Genomic DNA, 17,445 nt, shown 5'->3' on the forward strand with positions numbered 1-17,445 from the left:
ATAATAGTGGTGGTGGTGGCGGTGGCGGCATTGTCAGTAAGGGTTGGTAGGTGTTTCCGATTCTGAAACGTACAGGGTCATGGGATGGACAGTAATTGGGGGGAAGCATAAAAGCTAGCTAGTCAGGGATGGCTTCCCTGAGGAAGTGACCTAACACTTGAATAAAGAAAAGTCCAGTCTTGGAATGGCTCATGTTGCTAAACTGCTTTCCCATCCCCCAACGCTGCTCCAGTCTTGTTAAGCTGCTTGCAGGTGTGTGTCACCTATAGCCCTTTGCTTCTGCTGCTTCGAACATCTCCCCTTCCTCTTCCATTTATCTTGGCCAACTCCTTCCTGCCCTCATGTGACATGATTTTGAAATCCTTTAAGAGCTGAGTACTGGACTTTCCATTACTCAACCACAGGTTCCGTTTTTCGTTCCCAGCCAGCATCTCATTATAGAGAATAAACATTTATTGAGCTTCAGCTGTGTGTCTGGCACTGCGCTGCAAGCTGGGAATACAAAAATGAGTAAGATACACATCCCTGTCCTCAAAGAGTTTACTTTTTTTTTAAGCCAAGGAGATAGCAACGGTATGGCATGAAGCTATTGCGGAGGTTTGGTAGAGGAGGACTTAGGGTACGCATAAGTCAGGCTGACTCATCAGAGAAGGTTTCAGTGAGGAGGTGCTGCTTTAGCCAAGACCTGAAGGACGAACGAGATCTGACAGGTGAAGAGTGGTTCGAAGTGAGATGAGCAAAGGGCTAGAGGTGAGAATGCATGGCCTGCTTGTGGTTCACTGGAGTGCCAGTGTGGAGGTGTAGGATGAGAGGTGACTGGAAAGGTAAGCACTAGCCACATCGTGAAGGGCCCTGTGGACAATAGCATGTTACCCGCACATAGACTTTGGGATCCAAGATAGCTGCGTACCAATATTCCCATTGCCACTGAACTAGTTTTGTGACCCTGGGCAAGTCACTTCTTTCTAAGCTTCAGTTTCCTCATCTCTAAGAAGGGGAAATAAAAACTGTACGAGGTGATATGTTACTCACTTGACACTGGTAGATGATAAATACTCAATAAACAGTAGTCATTAATATTGCCAGGCCCAGAAGTTTGGACTCTAAAATGTGGGGGCGGGGGTGGAGAGCAGGACACTGAAGATTTTAAAACAGATGCGACATCCTCTCATCTGTTTTAAATTACCCAGGCAGCAATGTGGTGATTACACTGGACAGAAAAAGACAAGCAGGGGACCAGTTGGGTATAGTTGCAGTGATCCAGGTGACAGGATGAAGATCTGGATGAAGGCAGTGACAGTGGAGATGGAGAGGAGTGGGAGGAGTTGAGAGATTAAGGAGGTGGAATTTGCTGGACTTGGTAACTGATAGGATGAAACAGAAGAAGGGGACAAGAATCAGGATCCTGATGACGGGAGGGCAGAAATGAATTTGCTGTGTGGAATTGAGCAGTAACAAAATTCTTTGACTAGTGTCTCTAATAGATTAACCCTGACCTCTGATTTTATTTGGAATTCAGTTTGCCTCTGTCGTCCACTTCTACCCATGGAAATGACGTTCGCTAATGTCTTCCTCTCCTCTTTTTTTTTTTTTCTTTTTTTTTGAGATGGAGTCTCACTCTGTCGCCCAGGCTGGAGTGCAGTGGCACGATCTCGGCTCACTGCAAGCTCTGCCTCCTGGGTTCACTCCATACTCCTGCCTCAGCCTCCCCAGGAACTGGGACTACAGGTGCCCACCACCATGCCCGGCTAATTTTTTTTTTTTTTTTTTTTTTTTAGTAGAGATGGGGTTTCACTGTGCTAGCCAGGATGGTCTCCATCTCCTGACCTCGTGATCCGCCTGCCTCAGCCTCTCAAAGTGCTGAGATTACAGGCGTGAGCCACCGCTTCCTCTCCCCTTTCTATCTCCTGATCTCCCCACCCTTCTCCAGTGCGATTAAGGCCTGATTGTATAATCAAGGGACAATAAATACTGGAGGTGCTGCTCTGTTAATTGGTAGTCAGTAGGTATTACCATGATCTTGGCAGACTGAGGAATAGCCTATTCACTCCATCTCAGACCGGCTTCAGAATGATCACTTTTGGGATTTCCTCACACCTTCATCCCAGTTACCATCCTTGAACTTGCTCTGGTTTGTCAGCCTCTCTTTGAGTGTGTGGTACAGAAAGGAAATCCTCTTTCCTTGAGGACTCTAACCATGCAGAGCAAGACTGCACTTTTCTTGTGGTAACCTAAAGCCCTGCCAGCTCCATTATAGACACATTGTGCTTTTGACACTATTACACTAGTGTGCCACCAAATAGGCCCTCAGCGTGGCTCAGCCCTCCCCATATCCTCAGGCAGCTCTCTTGTCCATTTCCCTTTATGTCTTCCTCATATTCATTCCTCTCCTCAACCTCCTACCTTGACTTTTGCTCCACTAAGTTGCAGCCATTAATTAAGGCATCGCAGCTTCCTCTTCTATCCTTTACCAACTGATCTTTAGCTGACCCTATCCTTTTGCCTTTTATTCTAATTCTGTGAAAGAAATGGTGTTTTAAGACTAAGTCCTCTATTTGTGCTTGAGATCCCATCGCCTCCTTTGCCTCAAGGACTGGGTTCCATCATTTGTTCATTTTCTTTTCTGTTTCATCAACCCTTCTCATTTAAATATTCTCTGTTTACTCTCATTTTGGAAAAAACAAAAACCCTCCAATTAACCTATGCTGCACCCTGTCACACCTCTTTTACCCAGCCACCTTTCTTGGAAGAGTTATCTAGAGTTGCTTCCTGTACTTCCCTAAGTCATTGCTAAAATCCTGCTCTCGTCCCACCACTCCCCAAAGTCATCAGACCTCGACATTGCCAGAATACCTGACCACTTTTCCTTCTTATCTTTCTTGGCACATCTGACATTGCTGACCTTGCCCCTCACTTAGGAAAACCCAGTCCTACTTTGTATTATCTCTCTGGCCATTTGTCCCTCAATTTCCATTGTGGGCTCCTTTCTTCCCCTTTGTCCCTCACATGCCAATTTTTGCCAAGACTCTGCCCTCTACTATATTCTTTTCAACCGCAGCTTCAAACTTGTTTATATGCTCATGACCCCTGTTCTGTATCATAGCCCGAATCTCTCCTGAGTGCTACCCTCAAACTCAAACAAGTCTAAAACTAAGCTCCTCATCTTCCCTTTGAACCTGCCGTTCTTTCTCCATTCTTGAATCTTGCCAATTCCTCTCCTTTCATTTAGTCATCCAAAACAGAACCCTGAGAGTCATCTCAGACTCTTCCTCTGGTACTAGCCCTCCTTTCCATCTTCCAAGTCCAGGTAGTCATCAGAGTTCTATAGATTCGACTTTGTTGCTATCTCCTGACTCACATCTCCTCCATTTCCTCCCTTGCTCCCTCATTTCAGGCTCCCCTCCCTTTTTGCCTGTCTTTCTGCACAGCCTCCCAGCTGGTTGCCCTGCCTCAGCAGTCTGGTCCTCACTGCTGTGGATTGCCTTTACTAAAATAGAGATCTATGCAGAAATACAGTTGCATAGCTTTTCACATAAGGCTCTTCATGATATGGCCTTTGCCTGCTTTTATGGCATGGTCCATCTACTCTGCCCCATGTGCCTCTCCTTGCTGCCATACAGAACTCTATCAGGGGAACCTGCCCCCAATATTTCAAGGTATGTTCTTTCTATTTTCCATAAGTGTCAGCTGGCTGAGAAATAAAGAGAAAGAGTACAAAGAGAGGAATTTTACAGCTGGGCCTCTGGGGGTGACATCACATATTGGTAGGACTGTGATGCCGACCCGAGCTGCAAAACCAGCAGGTTTTTATTAAGGACTTCAAAAGGGGAGGGGGTGTGCGAACAGGGAGTGGGTCACAAAGATCACATGCTTCTGAGGAAACAGGACAAGGACAAAATCAGAAACTCCTGATAAGGGTCTATGTTCAGCAGTGTATGTATTGTCTTGATAAACATCTTAAACAACAGAAAACAGGGTTCGAGAGCAGAGAACTGGTCTGACCTCAAATTTACCAGGGTGGGGTTTCCCAATCCTAGTAAGCTTGAGGGTACTGCAGGAGAACAGGGCATATTTCAGTCCTTATCTCAACTGCGTAAGACAGACACTCCCAGAGCGGCCCTTTATAGACCCCCCCCCCCCCACCAGGAATGCATTCCTTTCCCAGGGTCTTAATTATTAATATTTCTTGCTAGGAAAAGAATTTAGTGATATCTTCCCTACTTGCACGTCTGTTTATAGGCTCTCTGCAAGAACAAAAATATGGCTGTATTCTGCCTGACCCTGTAGGCAGTCAGACCTTATGGTTGTCTTCCCTTGTTCCCTGAAAATCACTGTTATTCTGTTCTTTTTCAAGGTGCACTGATTTCATATTGTTTAAACACACATGTTTTACAATCAATTTGTACAGTTAACACAATAGTGGTCCTGAGGTGACTTACATTCTCAGCTTACAAAGATAACAGGATTAAGAGATTAAAGACAGGCATAAGAAATTATAAAAGTATTAATTTTTGGAACTGATAAATGTCCATATTAAAATGAAATCTTCACAATTTATGTTCAGAGATTGAAGTAAAGACAGGCATAAGAAATTATAAAAGTATTATTTGGGAACTGATATATGTCCATATTAAAATGAAATCTTCGCAATTTATGTTTCTCTGCTGCAGCTCCAGCCGGTCCCTCCGTTCAGGGTCCGTGACTTCCCGCAACAGAACTCATTTGTATTTTCTCAAACATACCATCCTGGTTTGTTCTTTCATTGTTTCAGTCATCAACAAGTATTTATTGGGCACCTGTGAGGTGCGAAGACTGGTGTTAGAAAAACAATGACGAATAGGGGAAAATGAGAAGCTGGCACGGTTCCTTTCTCATAGAATTTTTATTTATTCATTCTTTGTTTCAGTCATCAACAAGTATTTATTGGGCACCTATGAGGTGCTAAGTCAGGTGCTAGAAAAACAATGATGAATGGGGGAAAATGAGAAGCTGACATGGTTCCTTTCTCATAGAATTTTTATTCTACTGAGGAGGATAACTGCATACGTGCTATGAAGGTAAGGTAGTTGGTGCTCTTTGAGGACTAGAATACAGGAGGATCGACCTAATCCAGAGCTGAGGGAGTCAGGGAAGGCTTCCCTCAGAAGTGATGATTGAGCTGTGATTTGAAGTGAGCAAAGAAATTCACTAGATGATGGGTATGTGGAGGTGGCCAAGAAAATTCTAAGCTTATGCAGAGGCCATGGGGTGTTTCTGCAGCTGATGATGTGGAGCTGAGTCAGCTTCCTCCCTTTGCCTGGAGAGTCCCCACTCCCTACCTCTAGCCTCCTCATCCAGGGGTCCTTGCATGGGGCTAGTGCTGTCATCTAACCCTCCCTTTCTCAACCATCAGGGGTGGGTTTAGAAGTTTGTGGAGCTGTTTTATTTTGCTTTGTTTTGTGACATTGACCAGAGGGCATTACTGCATTTATTGAGAGAGAGCCAGAGATGCTCAACATTCTGCAGTGTGCAGGGATAGCTCTAAACAAAAAAGAATTGTTCCATCCAGCATGCCAGTAGGGCCCCTGTTGAGAATCTACTTGGATGTTCTTAAAACCTTGGGTTAAGGGTTTCTATAGGATATTCTTAAAACCTTGGCTTGGCTGGGTGTGGTGGCTCACGCCTGTAATCCCAGCACTTTGGGAGGCCGAGGCGGGTGGATCACAAGGTCAGGAGTTCGAGACCAACCTGACCAACATAGTGAAACCTTGTCTCTACTAAAAATACAAAAATTAGCCAGGCATGGTGGCGGGTGCCTGTAATCCCAGCTACTCAGGAGGCTAAGGCAGGAGAATCGCTTGAACCCGGGAGGCAGAGGTTGCAGTGAAGCCGAAATTGAGCCACCTCCCTCCAGCCTGGGTGACAGAGCAAGACTCTGTCTCAAGACTCCGTCTCAAAAAACAAAAAATAAAAAGCAAACAAACAAAAAAACCCCACCTTGGCTTAAGGGTTTCTATAGGAAACACTGTTGCCTCATCAGTCTAATTTAGATATCCCTCCTCCTATAACATTCTGTACAAACGCCAGGCTATACTGTATTTGTTTTACCTCCAAATTGCTATACTCCGATTCCTCTTCTGTTTTGTTGTCTGTTTTGGCTTCAAAATTGTTAGCTCTTTAAAGGTGGGGACCATAGTTTTTTTTTTTTTTGCCATTGAACCCTGAAATGTAGCACAGGGACAAGTATGTAACATAACTGTTTATTGAAGAAATAACTAATGGAAGCCCCAATTTCATTTCTTTTCTTTTCTTTTTTTTTTTTGAGACAGAGTCTTGCTGTGTCACCCAGGCTGGAGTGCAGTAGTGCTATCTCAGCTGACTGCAACCTGCGCCTCCCGGGTTCAAGCAATTCTCAAGCTTCAGCCTTCCGAGTAGCTGGGATTACAGGCGCCTGCCACCATGCCCGGCCCTTTTTTTGTATTTTTAGTAGAGACGGGATTTCGCCATGTTGGCCGGGCATGTTATTGGTAAACAATATGATATTAGTCCTGCTTTTTGAGTGTCTCCTATGGGCCAGATGTATGCATTTTCTAGTTGAATCTTCACACTAATTCTGCACAGTAGGTGGTATCCCCATCTAACAGAAGAGGAAACAGACTCGGAGAAGTTGAATGACTTGTCCAAGGTGGTGTGGCTAGAAAGTAGCAGAGACAGGATTTGAACTCAGGTCTCTCTGGCTCATGAACCTATGCCCTTTCCAGTCTAGCAGACCATCTGCCTTGTCCAGTTGTTTTCTTGAACTTAGATTTAGGGCCCTAGATTTACCTCTATGAAATTTCAAATCTTGTTAAAATAGGCCTGCCATTCCAGATGGTTGGAATCTTTTTTTATCCTGAATTTTAGTCACTTGTATTGCCTGTTTCTTCTTTTGTCATGAAATTGATAAGCAAATCTATATCATTATCCAAGTTATTGGTAAAATATGGTAATAAGAATACTTTATTGAATATGTTTATTTGCCTATTCCCCCTGCTCTTAGCCCCAGCACAGGGTTCAGTGCACATGAAATACTTAGTAAATGTTGATAAATATTCATTCATGTGGATAAATAAAATAAATTGGACAGGCCCAGAGACTAAGCCAAAGACGTACTGCTATTAGCTCCTTTCTAATTAACATTAATTAATTCAGTAACCAAGATCCTTTGAATAAGATTATTTTACCAGTTCTTAATCCCTCTAATTATGTCAGGATCCAATTCCTGTATCTTCACCTTGTCTACCGGGATTTCTAGAGCAGCCTTGTGAGAGACATTTCTGAGACCTGTATGTCCTGCGTCTATGATTCTTCCCTGATCAAGGTAGGAATGCAGTTACTCTGTCATGACTTTTTCTTAGAGAAACCATATTGGCCTCTTGTGATTACTTAGGGCTGCCTCATACAGTTATGCAGGCTGTGCACTGCACAAGAGGCCACATCAAAGGGGGTTCCATTTATATCATAGGTATCATGGGTGCATTTTTGTAATGACAGTGGCAGAGAAGGCTACCATGTCTTGAGCTAATCTAATCAGTATATTACAACATTTCTCTAACTAAAGGAAGTAAAATCTTGAAGCAGAGGTGTAATTTTCTGATTGTACAAAGGTGCTAAGTGGACTAGAGTGGCCCATATGGGCCTTTCCTGGGAGCAAAACTTCTGTCCAGTGGTCTTTAGAACCCATCTTTATTCTTATCTTTGAAAAATCAGGCCGGGTGTGGTGGCTCACGCCTATAATCCCAGTACTTTGGGAGGCTGAGGCAGGTGGATCACCTGAGGTCAGGAGTTCGAAACCAGCCTGGCCAATATAGTGAAACCCTATCTCTACTAAAAATACAAAAAATTACCTGGGCGTAGTGGCGGGCGCCCATAATCCCAGCTACTTGGGAGGCTGAGGCAGGAGAATTGCTTGAACGTGGGAGGCAGAGGTTGCAGTGAGCCGAGATCGTGCCATTGCACTCTAACCTGGGCAACAAGAGCGAAACTCCATCTCAAAAAAAAAAAAAAAAAGAGAAAAGAAACAAAGAAAAATCAAACATTTTGAAAATCGGAAATCAGGCCTTTGCTTGGCCCAGTTTTAAAGTACTTCTCCCGTTTCTCAGGATTCTTTAAACATACCAGAAATGAAAACCACAGAGATGTAATTATTTAGAAGCAAGCCTTCATAACTCAGCCAGCTTTTAGGAAACCATCATAGATTTTAGTTGTTGGTTGGCATAGGGCTCCACAGTGATTTAGACAAATCCAGGTGGGTGTCTCTCAGATGAACAGAGAAATGGGCAACACTGTTGATCAGTGGAGGTAACAAAAGGACTCAGAAGGAGGCACACTGCCCTCCATCTTCCTGGCATTATTGCTTCCTCTCTCCTCTTTCCCACATTTTCTCAGCTGTCACTGTCCCTCCCATGTAGGCTTCTCAAACCCCATAATGCTGGTATCCAGTGCATCCGTTCTCAAAAACTGAAGCTGATGGACACCAGATTGCATGTGAAGGTGAAGGATATTATAGCAGAAGGAAACCAAAATAAAAGAAAAACAGCTCCTGGAAGTAACCAATGAGAAGGACAGATAAGAGTTTGAAGACTGTGGATGTGACTGCTTGTTCCCTGGTTGACACACTGAAGAAGAAATCATGTTGATTCAGAGTTGGCTTGGAGGTGAGGAGGACAACTCACCCATCATAGCAATTTTCCTAACTGCCAGTGTGATCAGCTGTTACCACAGAAATCACCTGAAAGCACAGTCACAAACCAATTTGGCTGACTTGATGATTTGATGTCTTGTGGAGATGTTAGTTTTGCTCAGGGACATCTTGACTCTAATGCAACTTTTAAAAGGAAGTGAGGTTTCTGTACCCAGCTGGTTTCCCTGTAGGAGTCCTGAGTTCTCATCTTCCGGTAGAGCCTACTCTTTCTTCTAAGTTTAGAACTTTTTCCCTTCTTTTGGAAGAGAAGGCTTTAAACCTCCCTCTTTAACAGCCTTGCAGATTGTTTCTGAAACTCATGAGGTTGCAGAAGCATCATTTGTCTATAAAATGTGCATTGGCTCCATATGCCAAAGCAGCCCCCTCCCGACTCCTGGTGATCTCTACCTCCTTTTTACACATCAGCAGCTAAGAACATATGCTGTTTGTCAGCGGGACTTGGTCATGTGGTTTGGTGCTTATTTTAATGACTGCCAGAGCTTGCAGCCCTGCAGCTGGGAAAATGAGAATAGAAGCCTGCTCTGTGTGCTCCATTTTGGCCCAGAGAAGGCACTTCAGGGCCAAATTGCAGTTATTCTGGCACTTCTGCTAAGTGAATGGCCCCACATGGGCTCAGAGAAATCGGACACTGAGTGCTCGCTGCCCTTTAGAACTTGTTCTTTTGGACTTCTCGATGACCTGTAGTGGGAGACTGACCATTTCCTTTTAATTAAGCCTCTGTTGTGCTTGCAGAGCTCTTTTGAGGGAGGTAGGCTTTAAATGAGGCATGTTTTAGGCAGAGGAAATTTTCATAGTGAGCATGGGGAAGGGGAACCACATTAGTCAGGCATTGTTGGCTAATATGGGGCAGTGACAAGAAAAACTACCAGCAGCTACCATTTATTGACTGCTTGCTGTATGCCAGGCACTGTAGCAAGCACCTCACAAACATTTAGCCCTCCCAGCAAGTTCTAGAGTAGTTATACCTGTCCTTATCTTACACCTGAGTAAATCCAGGTGCAGGGGGGTGAAGGAACCTGCCCTAACCTGCCCTAGGCTTCTCAGCCAATAGGAGGTGGAGGTGGAATCCACACTCGGGTTCATCTGTATAAAGACCTGATTCCTGACTGCATTACATTACCTCTCCTTTTAGCATCCTTTCCCTGAACCATTAAAAACTCTCCTGCTTGTGGTGGACATGGTGGCTCACGCCTAGTAATCCTAGCACTTTGGGAGGCCAAGGCAGGTGGATCACCTGGGGTCAGGAGTTTGAGACCAGCCTGGCCAACAAAGCAAAACCCTACTAAAAATACAAATATTAGCTGGGCATGGTGGCGCATGCCTGTAATCCCAGCTATGTGGGAGGCCAAGGCAGGAGAATCGCTTGAACCCGGTAGACGGAGGTTGCAGTGAGCCGAGATCACGCCATTGCACTCCAGCCTGGACGACAGAACGAGACTCTGTCTCAAAGAAAAACAAACCAAAAAAACTCCCCTGCTCTCCTAAAGCAAACAGACAAAAAACTAAAACACACAGAAAAATCAGAGTGTGATAATTTTTAGCATTGTCAGGCTGGTTTATGGAAACTAGAGGCCTGTGTGTCTAGCTTCCCCTAAAGACAGGTTCTTTTTGTTTTTGTTTTTTTCTCTCCCTCTGTTTTTTATTTTCTACAATTACTTCTTCACTTTAAAGTGAATTACTTCTTCATTTAAAAAATCCTGTATTTCTTCATTAAAAAATATCCTACACTTCTTCATTTTAAAAAATCCTATACTGGCTTGATTATTTGCTGTGTCCAATCCTAGAGGGAGAATGGTTGGGCGGTCTCACTCCAGGAAGCACTCCTGCTTCAATTAATTCTATAAGCAGCCAAGCCAAAATAATTCCATCCTTAGCTTCTTTAGTCACAAAATGCCAGAAAACTTTATGGAAATGATTTCTCATTTAGGCTACTTATTTAGAGTAATGAATTGCTTTTTACCAAAGCTAAATTTAAGTAGGTCATCTGTTAACTGTTGGATGAATAAATGAAGGTTCTCTTCGTAGGACTGGTATGGTTTAAAGATAGGGGTTTTGTTCTACTTTTTTATTTTATTTTATTTTTTGAGACGGGGTCTTGCTCTGTTGCCCAGGCTGGAATACAGTGGTGCAGTCATGGCTCACTGCAGCTTGGATTGCCTGGGCTCAGGCGATCCTCCTGTCTCAGCCTCCTGAGTAGTCGGGACCACAGGCGTGCACCACCACTCCATAATAATTTTTTAAAATTATTTGTGGAGATGATATCTTACTATGTTGCCTAGAGTGGTCTTGTCTGGGCTCAAGTGATCATCCTGCTTTGGCCTCCCAAAGTGCTAGGATTACAAGTGTGAGCCACTGTGCCTGGCCTTTTTTTTTTTTTTTGAGACGGAGTCTTGCTCTGTCGCCCAGGCTGGAGTGCAGGTGCGCAATCTTGGCTCACTGCAAGCTCCGCCTCCCGGGTTCACGCCATTCTCCTGCCTCAGCCTCCCAAGTAGTTGGGACTATAGGCGCCCGCCACCATGCCCAGCTAATTTTTTTTTTGTATTTTCAGTAGAGACGGGGTTTCACCGTGTTAGCCAGGATGGTCTTGATCTCCTGACCTCATGATTTGCCCACCTCGGCCTCCCAGAGTGCTAGGATTACAGGTGTGAGCCACCTTTTTTTTTTTTTTTTTTTTAAAAGCCCGGCCTTTTTTTTTTTTTTAAATTCCTTCCTGTGACAGATTCTCACCCTGTCACGCAGGCTGGAGTTCAGTGGCACAATCACGGCTCACTGCAGACTCGACCTCCTGGGTTCAAGTGATCCTCCCACCTCCCACCTCAGCCTCCCAAGTAGCTGGGACTACAGGTGCCTGGCAATTTTTTTTTATTTTTTGTAGAGATGGGGGCCCACCGTGTTGCCCAGGCTGGTCTTGAACTCCTGGGCTCAAGCAGTCCTCCTTCAGCCTCCCAAAGTGTGGGGATTACAGGTGTGAGCCACTGCACCCAGCCCTATTTTACTTCTTTATTCATGGATAACATACATAAAGTGCACTGATAGCAAATGTTTAGCTTGTGGCTTTTTACATAGGTATATGCCTTGTAACCACCACCCAGCTCAAGATACAGAATATTTCCATCTCCCCAGGAGCCTTCCTCGTGGCCTTCTCAAGTCAGTAGCTCCACCTCACCCTGTAATCACCATTCTAACTTCTGTCAGGTTGATTGGTTTTGCCTGTTGAACAACGTATAAAGCTGTGTGTGACACACAGCTTTTATCTTAATAGTAAGATAAAATTATTCTTACTATTTTATTTTGGAACAGTTTCAAACTTACAGAAATTCTACAAGAATAAGACAGATACCTTCTATTTATCCATCTCCCAGAGACTCCCATTCAGTTTTTGTCCCAATAATGTCCTTTTATAGTGGAGCATCATCCCAGGATCACACGTGGTCCCCAGCTGTCACGTCTTTGTGGTCTCTTTCAGTCTGGGACAGCTCCTTGTCTCCCTTTGACTTTTAAGACCATGGCACTTCTGAAGACTATAATCCTGGTCATTTTGTAGAATGTTTTTCAACTTGGGTTTATCTGATGTTTCCTCCCATGAGATCCAGGTTGTGTATTTTCATCCAAACACCACAGATGCTGTGTTCTTTCCATGGCATTCTATCAGATAGCACACAGTGTCTGTTTGTCACGTTGCTGCTGGTGTTAACTTTAATCTCTTCATTAAAATGCTATATTAATGACCAGATATTGTCACTAGTAGCTACCAGAATGCTTTCAGAAAGAAACATTTATTCTTGACTACTTTCATATGCAGTTGCATAAGGTTTTATTTGCACTGATTTGTGCATGCATGTTTCCTGCCCGCTAAGGTCTTAGTCCTGAAAAAACAATAATAGGTTTAGGGACCTAAGTTATATGGCATATCGTCGTATGTTCTTCATGATTCCTTACTCCATATTCTGTGGTAATTGGCTTCTGGGGTTTGTTCTCATAGTCATAGAAGTTTGGGTTATTTCTTGCTTTTGTTTCTTTTCGGGAGGATATCTATAGAAAGTTCCTTGTTTTTGTTTTGTGTTTTTTTTTTTGTCTTTTCTTTTCTTTCTTTCTTTCTTTTTTTTTTTTTTTTTTTTTTTTTGAGACAGGGTCTGGCTCGATCACCTGGGCTGGAGTGCAGTGGTGCCATCTTGCCACCTTGGCTTACTGCAGCCTTAATCTCCCAGGCTTAAGCGATCCTCCACCTGAGTCTCCCAAGTAGCTGGGAACACAGGCGCATGCCACCGCCATGCCCAGCTAACTTTTTAAATATTTTTGGTAGAGACGGAATGTTGCCCATGTTGCCCAGGCTGGTCTCAAACTCCTGAGCTCAAGCTATCCTCCCGCCTCAGACCCCCAAAGTGCTGGGATTGCAGGTGTGAGCCACCGCACCCAACCTTTTTTTATTATTATTATTATTTTATTTTTAAATTAATTTTTTCTAGAAATGGTGTTCTGCTATGTTGCCCAGGCTGGTCATGAACTCCTGCCCCCAAGCAGTCCTCCTGCCTCAGCCTTCCGAAGTGCTGGGATGCAGGTGTGAGCCACTGTGCCTGGCTGATAAAAGGTTTCTAAAATTCATCCTAGTAATGTTTGAGAGCCACTCACAAGGGATTAGGGACATTGAAAGGAATATGAGCCAGGATCTGTATTTGTAGAGTTTACAATCAAGTTTGGTGGAGGCAAACAGGTAAGCAAAGAGTTGAAAAACAATACCAAATGTCTAGGTGGCTTAGAGCCAGGAGTGATTAAATATAGCTGCCAGGGGAGGAGTATGAGGGGAGTGAAGACAGGCGAGGCACCTCTGAGAAGGCTTTCCTGAGCAGGTCACCTCTGAGCTGCTCTGTGAATGCCAGGCAGTCACAGAAGCAAGGTGAGGGAGAACAGGGAACACTTTTCAGACAGAGGGGCTGTGAGTTCTAGGCCATGGGGGCCTGAGAGCGGCTGCTAAGGAGCATCAAGTCAGAGGTGAGGAGTGACAGGGCCGTGGGGTAGAACTAGAAAAGTCGGAAGGCAGCAGCGGCGGTCTGGGAGAAAGCATAAGGAAACCATCAGAGGTGTAGTCATATGCCTGCTTAAGATGTAGAATGCTGCTGATGCAGTCTTTCCGGAACGTTATGAGCCTTAATAAATATCAAATGAGCTTCGTCTTGGCTTAATGATGCTGAGAGATGTGTGAATGTTTTGAGTAGACTGTATTTACCAGTTCATAAAGAAGTATTTGCAGCATTACAAGGTGCCTATTGCAGGCCAGCAGATGTGGCCTTAGAATCTGGCCTTCGCCCTCAGCGCCCTCACTGATCTTTACTGCCCTTTAAAAAGATTATGCCAAAAATATCAGTCTTCCTCAAAACAAAATATACTATTGGCACCTTCAAAGAATCAAAAGATAACAGGTTTGGAAGATCATTTAGTCCAGGAGTCAGCAAACTATAGCCTGTGGATCAAGTCCTGCCCGAGGCCTTTTTTTGTGCAGTCCAGGAGCTAAGAATGGTTTTTGCATTTTTTTAAGGGTTGTAAAAAAAATAAAATACACAGCAGACTGTTTGAGGCCTGCAGTGCCTTAAAATATTTACTATCTGGCCTTCTTCAGGAAAAGCTTGCCAGACCCTGGTCTTGTCTGACTGCCTGATACAGCAATCCTTTGTGCAGTATTACGTGGCAAATAATCATCCAATATATGCTTGAACACTTCTGCTAATGGAGAACTCATTATCTCTCTGATCTATTTCCTGTTTGGACAATTCAAGCTATTAGTAATTTTTAAACTGCTGAAATTTATCTTACTATATAGCATCCATCCATTGGCCCTTTGTGCGAAAAGAGAGCTATTATTTCATTTCAACCTTTACTGAGCTCTTAATATGATCCAGGCACTGTGCTCAGTCCTGAAGAAAGATGAGTAAGACATGGTGCTTGTTTCAAGGATCTCCCAGCTATGATTTCTTGGAACCAAAGCAGTTGAGCTGCTAGTCTTTTATCTCTCTCTTTGTCTTCTTGCCATTGGGTTAGGACTTTTTTCTTTAATTATTTTAGTTATTTCTGTATTGTTTTATATACATAATACAAACTTTAAGAGGCAAAAAAGGTCATGCAGTGAAAATAAGTCTCCCCACACTCCTCTCTCCTCACCTCCTAGCAGCTTTCTTGGGAGGCAACCGCCACTGCACATTTCCTGTGGGGATTTGATCTTAAAAAACAAAAGATTTAGATCCATGTGGACAGAAACTTTTGGTAAGTACTCATTCAGTGACATTTTCTGAGCTCCTACTTGTGCTGAGTGTGACTGAGTTTTATTTTCATTAAAGTCTGAAATTTGCACCAAGTTTGGGTGGTAGACACAGCCCCGGGGGATTGTATTGGTTAACCACACACGCTGCTATTTCAGTTTAATCTTGACTGAACTTCTTGGCTACTGCAGGCTTTCTTACACCACTAGAGTTCTTGCTCATTACAGTGTTGAATCCCTATCAAAACCTTTCCTGTTTAATTGGCAGTGACACAATCCCATCTTGTGTAACTCAGGATGTTTCACATCCTGAAATAGTTTGAAATAAAATTGAAACACACTTACATTGATGCCTATGTTAATTTCTTTCCTTGACTGTGTCTGAATATAATGTTGAAGTGTGATAGAAACAATCCTTTATCTTTCTAAGCTAAGCAGAGGCCGAAGTTTCACTTGCACTGTCCAGGGTTATACAGGCAAGCCTTACTTTTTCAGGAAGTAGGTAATGTTTGGATTTAGATTAGTGACACATGAATAACTCTGTCTATGACTCACTTCCCCCCAAATTCCCCTCCGACCATTACTTCTTAAATCTTCCCTTCCAGCTTAAGCGCTGTAGTGATGTTACATAGACGTGTATGTTCCTAAGTGATACCTTTACCATAGATTGTCCTGTTTAGGTATTTCCAGAAGATTCCTCATCATGCTGATGTTGCTTAAGACTTTTCTGTTTTCAGCCTGTCATGGAACGGTTTCAGCAGCTCAACATCAACTATATCCTCTTATGAAATAGGCCCTTGGATTCTGTTCAGAATTTCCCTAAGGCCAAATAAGTCAGAAAATATTTGAAGGATGTGCCTCTTATGCAAATTACTTTTGTGCAATCATGGATCACTGCAGCCTCAACCTCCTGGTGGGCTCGAGCTATCTTCCTACCTCAGCTTCCCGAGTTGTTGGGACTACCGATGCGCCCTGCAATGCCCGGCAAATTTTAAAACTTTTTTTGTAGAAATGGGGTCTCACCATGTTGCCCAGGCTCGTCTCAAACTCCTGGGCTCAAGCGATCCTCCTGCCTCAGCCTCCCAAAGAGTTAGGATTATGGGCATGGACCACTGCACTGGGCCTTTTTTTTCTCTCTCTGTAAAAGTAGTTTATTTGTTCTGTTTACAAAGTACAGGGAAGGAATAAGGGCAATACCTGGAACCCCTTTGGTCGCACATCTTCCCAGTCTATGCTTCTATAAATAACGTTTGTACAACAGCAAACTCATATTGTCCCCATGTGTTTTCTCACATCCTGGTAGCTGCAGTCTATAGTATAGACCGGGTAGGAAATAGATGCCTGATTCACAGGGTAGGGCTCCCCTCCAATTAGTGTTCCAGCTCACTTTTGCTAATATTGAAACAGAAGTAACTAGTTGTTCTTAAAAACTCTCTCATGAACAAGTAGGTCATAAGCAAATTATGTCTGCACAACTCCTAGAATTGTTTCAAATAACTTTATAGAAAGGCAGTGACTAAGGCCCTTTCCTCTTTCCCATCTTTCTAAGTCCTAGGCTGCCTTCATTCAGCACCTGGACTGCCGCCTGGGTCCCCCACATCCCAGCGCGGTGATGGAGGAGGGGCAGGCCAGGCCAAGCATGAGGAATAAGCTGTCTTTACTGGGCTCAGACCAGGAGCCCATGGTCTTGAGGAACTCTGTATTTATCAGTTTTCTTCTCCACGTTCTCTTCCACCTGTTTCTGCAGCCTCATGGCCTGTTTTTACTTTTGGTAGTGGATCTTGGCCTTCTCCTTCCTCTTCTCCTCCAGGTAGCTGTCACTGCCTGGTACTTCCAGCCAACCTCATGAACCAGCCACCCCCAGGTAGGCAGACTTTATTTTAGGCTTCAGACGCACAACCTTGAAGGCACCAGGAACCACTATCTGCAATTAATATACAAAATGTCTGTTATCTTCTTTTTTTTTGAGATAGAGTTTCACCCTTGTCGCCCAGGCTGGAGTGCAATGGTGCGATCTCAGCTCACTGCAACCTCTGCCTCCCGGGTTCAAGCAGTTCTCCTGCCTCAGCCTCCTGAGTAGCTGGGATTATAGGCATGCACCACCATGCCCGGCTAATTTTTGTATTTTTAGTGGAGACGGGGTTTCGCCATGTTGGTCAGGCTGGTCTTGACCTCCTTACCAAGTGATCCACCCACCTCAGCCTCCAAAGTGCTGGGATTACAGGCGTGAGTCACTTCACCCGGCCATGTCTGTTATCTTTTAAGTAGTCATCCTTAGTCGCTTTTACCCAGCTACCGAAGTGCTGTAGAATAGAGTTTTCTTTTTTGTCTTTGTGATTCTCTGGCACTGGTAAAATTCCATCTTGATGTCCTTAGCAGGTCATCAAAATTATGATGAAAACAAGTTACATTTGTCCTTGAAGAGAAAGTTGTGGATGACTGACATATGTAGGGACTTGATGATCTGTCACAC

General features: G+C 43.9%; 1 protein-coding gene and 1 pseudogene across 35 annotated transcripts in view, besides 3 other annotated features; one reads left to right on the top strand and one right to left on the bottom strand.

Annotated features, from left to right (window-relative positions):
* The window catches only part of ATG7 (autophagy related 7), a 303,957-nt gene that overhangs the window by 1,367 nt on the left and 285,145 nt on the right, over positions 1–17,445 (top strand). For 3 of the 35 annotated variants that reach the window (NM_001349232.2, XM_047447296.1, XM_011533277.4), the window contains exons 2-3: positions 7,231–7,339; positions 8,430–8,675. The exons of 23 other annotated variants lie outside the window; for them this stretch is intronic. The gene's annotated coding sequence lies outside the window, so the exon portion shown is untranslated. Of the gene's footprint in view, positions 1–450; positions 5,058–7,230; positions 7,340–8,406; positions 8,676–14,882; positions 14,978–17,445 lie in introns of those variants that run through there. 9 more of the 35 variants (NM_001349235.2, XM_006712932.5, NM_001349234.2 and 6 more) reach the window with 7 other exon arrangements.
* Positions 12,864–12,996: a silencer, noted in NCBI's record as "fragment chr3:11328313-11328445 (GRCh37/hg19 assembly coordinates)". NCBI's record gives its function as "represses an EF-1alpha promoter that drives an FKBP-Casp9 reporter gene in an ReSE screen in phorbol 12-myristate 13-acetate-treated (for megakaryocytic differentiation) K562 erythroleukemia cells {active_cell/tissue: K562(+PMA)}" and the evidence as "EXISTENCE:reporter gene assay evidence [ECO:0000049][PMID:32094911]".
* Positions 14,815–16,014: an enhancer, noted in NCBI's record as "BRD4-independent group 4 enhancer chr3:11330264-11331463 (GRCh37/hg19 assembly coordinates)". NCBI's record gives its function as "activates an origin of replication core promoter dependent on BRD2, P300/CBP, MED14 and CDK7 cofactors, and independent of BRD4, by STARR-seq in HCT116 cells {active_cell/tissue: HCT116}" and the evidence as "EXISTENCE:reporter gene assay evidence [ECO:0000049][PMID:35650434]".
* Positions 16,274–16,323: a silencer, noted in NCBI's record as "silent region_14061". NCBI's record gives its function as "represses an Ori minimal core promoter by ATAC-STARR-seq in GM12878 lymphoblastoid cells {active_cell/tissue: GM12878}" and the evidence as "EXISTENCE:reporter gene assay evidence [ECO:0000049][PMID:35858748]".
* On the bottom strand, positions 16,643–16,900 carry RPL13AP27 (ribosomal protein L13a pseudogene 27; annotated as a pseudogene).

Source organism: Homo sapiens, chromosome 3 (assembly GCF_000001405.40).
Source record: "Homo sapiens chromosome 3, GRCh38.p14 Primary Assembly".
Classification (NCBI taxonomy): Eukaryota; Metazoa; Chordata; class Mammalia; order Primates; family Hominidae; genus Homo; species Homo sapiens.